Below are 5,696 nucleotides of genomic sequence, written 5' to 3' on the forward strand. Positions count from 1 at the left end.
CAAATAAAATGAAAGGACTTAGAGCAAATGATTGCTTCTGCTTATTTTTATTTCATTGTTTGGCTGTTTGCATTACTATACACTCAATATTTTTCTCATGGATTATCAAAAGAAATCAGAAACAGCTGCTGCTGGCTGCAAGATTATTTGTTTGAAGTACCATGTCACTCCTCTTAAAACACACACACACACTAACACTAGCACTGAACCACGGTCAAGTAGGCAGTGATGAAAAATATTCAATCAGAAATAATGTGCATCCCTCCCTCCCTCTGACTCCAAGATAAATATATCAAGTCTGTAAAGAGCAAAGAACTGACCATTGTTTTCATCCCCTTCTTTTCTATCTCCTTAAAAATCATGGATACTTTTGTTTTAGTTTGAGATTTTTGTTGAATCTGCAAGTGCATCAAGTCTACTTCCAGATTAAATCCCCATTATCATTTTTTAGTGTTTTCATCTGCTTTTGTGGGTTAGCACTATCTTGCTAGCAGTTACTTAATGAGGTACATGGTAATATATTTGGTACAGACTACTTTGCCTACGTAACTACTCAGGTGTAACTGTTTTCCTCGTCTAATAAGAACTTCTACTCTTCAGATCCAGGCATTTCAGATCAATGTTGTCTTCTGTTTTCCAGAAAGCTAACATATAATTCAAGGAATCTCTGTTATTTATTTATTATAATACTCTTATCATTTGGAGGTGTATTTGGAAAACTACATCTCTTTCCCTTTGGTACAGCTTGGTTTAGATTACAGAAGTATGTGGGAGCATGAGAAAAACAACCCCATTAGAAAGTGGGCAAAGGGCATGAACAGACATTTCTCAAAAGAAGACATACATGTGGCCAACAAGCATAGGAATAAAGCTCAATATCACTGATCATTAGAGAAATGCAAATCAAAACCACAATGAGATACCATCTCTCACCAGTCGGAATAGCTCTTATTAAGAAGTCAAAAAATAACAGATGCTGGAAAGGTAGTGGAGAAAATGGAACACTTATACACAGTTGGTGGGAGTGTAAATTGGTTCAACCATTGTGGAAAACAGTATGGTGATTCCTCAAAGAGATAGAAGCAGAACTGCCATTCAACCTAGCAATCCCATTACTTGATATGTGCCCAGAGGAATATAAATTGTTCTACCATAAAGACACATGCATGTGAATGTTCACTGCAGCACTATTCATGATAGCAAAGATATGGAATCCACCTAAATGCCCATCAATGACAGATTGGATTAAAAAATGTGGCACATATACACCATGGAATATTATGCACCCATAAAAGAGAACGAGATCATATCTTTTGCTGGAACATGAATGGAGCTGGAGGCTATTATCCTTAGCAAACTAACACAAGAACACAAAACCAAAACTGCATGTTCTCACTTATAAGTGGGAGCTAAATGATAAGAACTCATGGACACAAAAAAGGAAACAACAGACACTCAGATCTACTTGAGAGGGGAGGGTGGAGGAGGGGGAGCAGCAGAAAAGATACTATTGGGTACTAGGCTTAACACCTGAGTGATGAAATAATCTGTATAAAAAACCCCCAGGACATATGTTGACCTATGTAACACACCTTTATATGCACCCTCAAACCTAAAATAAAAGTTAAAAAAAGGAATTTACTATAGTTAAATTATATAGCATGTTTCACACAACCTTCATCTTCATCTCCTTGCTTCTAATTTTTTTTTTTTTTTTTTTTTGAGACGGAGTCTTGCTCTGTCGCCCAGGCTGGAGTGCAGTGGTGCAATCTCAGCTCACTGCAAGCTCCACCCCTGGGTTCATGCCATTCTTCTGCCTCAGCCTCCCAAGTAGCTGGGACTACAGGCACATGCAGCCATGCCCGACTAATTTTTTTTTTTTTTTTTGTATTTTCAGTAGAGACGGGGGTTTCACCGTGTTAGCCAGGATGGTGTCGATCTCCTGACCTCATGATCTGCCTGCCTTGGCCTCCCAAAGTGCTGGGATTACAGGCGTGAGCCACTGCACCCAGCCTACTTCTGATATAATTTTGTGAGGAGTTGGGGAGGCATTATTTTCACATTTGACAAATGAGAAGTGTGAATTGACAAACGCTGAAGTGGGTGGGGAGAGCCTGGAGAATTGGGTGGCCTCAATCCTCACCTGGGCCTTTCCCCATGAATCATGAACCGCTGCCTTCAGTTCTCACATCAACTGCCTAGGGAAATATGACTATGTTCATTCCGCCTCTATGAGAAACTGTTCAGGAGGCACAAGGCAAGTGACTCCCTTCACAAGTGAGGGACTCTTCAATAAGAAAAGATATATATGATAAAAGTCACATCTCATTTAAGTATTCATGGATGCTTTGCATGTTCAAGGAGGTTTTCCAGGCACTGGGAATGGAGTAAAGAGTAAACAGGTGCAATTTCAGGCCTGAAAGAAATCAGAAGCTTGTAGGAAAATAGGCAATGAATTCAAAATTATACCAATAATCACATAATGAAAAGTATTTGGGGATTCTTTCAAAGACAGGCACAGATTTTATGAGGCCCAGATTTTACGAGTAAGTATCTGAAATCAAATCTACGTCACCAGGGGAAAACTCCTTGAAGATATGATATTTAATTTGAAACCTGAAGGCCAGCAAGTTGGAATAGGGCATTTTAGACAGCACATGTAAAAGCTCTGCAAGAAAGAAAGTGGCACTTTGAAAATGCTGGAGGAAGATCAGTATGTTGACAGCATGGTCAACAGGGGTGTAGGTCATGCCTACCTTCAGAGCTAGTCCCAGGCCAGTTCATAGAGCCTTGTGGGTTTGCTAAAAATTTTGGATATTTCCAAAGTGAAATGGGAAGGTACTAAACAGTTTTATGTAGAGGATTAATATGCTCTAACTTCTCATAGTAAACAGTCACTTTAGCTGCTCATTATAGAGAAGGATAAAAGTTGAAAGAAGAATTAGGGAGCTCAAACTAGAAATGTAATAGATAACTGGTTGATATGGTTTGGGTCTGTGTCCCCATCCAAATCTCACCTTGAATTGTAATAATCCCCAGGTGTCAAGGGCTGGACCAGGTGGAGATAATTGAACCATGGGGGTGGTTCCCCCATACTGCTCTCGTGATAGTGAGTGAGTTCTCACGAGATCTGATGGTTTTGTAAGGGGCTTTCCCGTTTGCTGGGCACTCATTCTCTCTCCTGCCACCCTGTGAAGAGGTGTCTTCTGCTATGATTATAAGTTTCTTGAGACCTCCCCAGCCATGTGGAACTGAGACAATTAGACAACTTTTTTCTTTATAAATCACCCAGTCTTGGGCAGTTATTTATAGCAGCGTGAGAAGAGACCAACATACTGGTAGATTCTTTCTTCTTTTTCCTGGATGACTTAATCTTATTTTGCTAACTTTCATAATCTGAGATCTCAGATACCTTGCCACATAAATAGCTATTTTATTCTTTATCTGAAGTTGATTTCTTATTAATGTTATTACTCTAGAAAGTGTAAGCACCTTCCTTATATATGTGATTTATGCAGAGACATTTTGGTTATTAGAGATGATATTAGGAAAATATCCATTTTCCAGGATTTTTGGTTAACAAATGCAATGTAGGACTCACATTTTTGTAGGGTTCACAATTACCTCCACCACATTTCTCAAGAGACTCTCTGGTAACTTTCATTCCAGATCAGTGACAAAGATGACAGAAATTTTTGCTATTGTAGCTCATTTACACACAAGATGAAACAAGCGGGACAGATGTTCCTAAAAAGAATGAAGTGCAATTTAAGAAAATAACTCTCTTTGAACTTTGAAAATGACATGGAGGAAATTTGGATTCTGATTTCAAGAGGTAGAATTTGTGAAGAGTAATGATTTTACAACATCCCACCCCACTCCCTTCTTCCTGGTTGAACTGATGGATGCTCCAACCTACAGCATTTGTACTGATTCTACATTGATCTTTTTCTGCATTGGGCCTGACTTAAGGGAATCTGACAGCACTGGGCCAAAAAACCAGTAACATTTATTAGGCCCTTGGTTACTGAACAAGCACAGAGACAAAGAAAAACTTAACTGAAGATTGTGTTTATACATTTGACACGTGTCAGGTAAGATATTTGGTTCACATGCAATAAAAATGAAATGTAGATTTCTCTGGAACTCGTGACTTACAGGACTTACTCAAATGGGCATTAAAAAGGTGCAACATGACTGCTTTTCTCTATAAAGGAAGGATATTTAAATTGAGACAGTGGAGAAATGCACATTATACAGGTACATCTTCCGTCTAGAAAAGAATTCTTGCCTTTTTTCTTTTATTGGCACAGACAGAGAAGAGAAGAGAAGCGGTGTGTCCATTTGTTTGCTTTCCAAATGTTTAAATGTCACTCAAGAGAAAGTTTTTCCCATATTTCTATGAGACTCGTCTTATCACCAGAATTCAAGTCTACAATCTCTTATACACAATTCCAAAATTGAAAATTCTGAAACTGTAAATGTTTTTGCAATTTTGGCTCCAAAGCTCTTTGAGTGGCAAAATCTGCCTTAATCTGATGTGAGGCTATTTATAGACTTTATTCTACTAAGAATATTTATTTCACTGTATAAATTTTAATATATTTATTGTGTGGTGCACCCTCAGGCCTGTATATGCAGAATATTTAGAATATACACTGTATTTCCTTTCTAACATCTAAAATATTTTGAATTTTCATCTAAGAGTTTTGGATAAAGGAATGTGAACCTATGCCACAGAGAAAAGAAAATTCAGTTCATTGAGCCTGATTACCTCCAAGCTCCTATCACTGTGGGCAAGGGTTGAAAGACTTGTCATATTGGGAAATGAAGTCCTTGTCCAAATGACCCGATGAATCACTTCCTTCCTTTTTGGCCAGTCTGGTCTGTTCATGGGTCACCGAAGACAAGAGTCAAAGAATCACTGTGTTTTAGAACAGACGTGCTGATCTAAATTTTAGATTCTAAAATATGCTCTGTTGACTAAGCTGCATTGCCTGGTAACAAAGACAATCACAATGAGGATTCATTCATTCCATAAATATTTACTGAGCACCTATTATGAAATGTCAAACATGTTGTAACAGAAAAAGAACCTAGATACAACTCAGGAGCCCTGGGTTCAAATTGGTTTAGCCATCTAACTCCTGTATAAAGTTTGGCAAGTCATTTAACTTCTCTTTCTCTCTAGATATTTATGATAATTAAATTTAATAATATACTCAAAAGATTTGTACATTTTATTGAGCTTCTGTGCTAAATGCCTTATATGTACCATATAAAGAATTATTATGTGCAGAGAATAAGATTGGTGGGCATACTAGGATGGGTAAAACACCCACTCTCAAAGAGCAAACTGATAGAGGAGTAACATATGCACCTACAGAACTATGCCAGGCTTTTATTTTTTTTTTTAATCACTGATAGGCAGCACCAAAATAATTTTGGAAGATAAGCTGCTCTAAGTCCTTGCAAGAAAAATATGGACGGGGGAAGGGAGAAAGAAGCATCTGAAAGGAATTTCATCTAAAACAGCTGCCTTGCTAAGTCCCTGTTTCAAATTGCCTGTTAGCTGATCTGACTTAAGACTTTTTTTTGTAATCAAGAAACAAAATCTGTGGGGTTTGCTAGTTCAATTCATTTGCACATTTCTCACAGCTACATATGGCAGGACTGGAATGATCAAATTTCCTTCA

General features: G+C 38.0%; 1 annotated feature.

The window, feature by feature from the left end:
• Positions 4,689 to 4,983: an enhancer, noted in NCBI's record as "tiled region #14725; HepG2 Activating non-DNase unmatched - State 24:Quies". NCBI's record gives its function as "activates a minimal TATA promoter and a strong SV40 promoter by Sharpr-MPRA in HepG2 cells {active_cell/tissue: HepG2}" and the evidence as "EXISTENCE:reporter gene assay evidence [ECO:0000049][PMID:27701403]".

This window comes from Homo sapiens, chromosome 2, assembly GCF_000001405.40.
Source record: "Homo sapiens chromosome 2, GRCh38.p14 Primary Assembly".
Taxonomy (NCBI): Eukaryota; Metazoa; Chordata; class Mammalia; order Primates; family Hominidae; genus Homo; species Homo sapiens.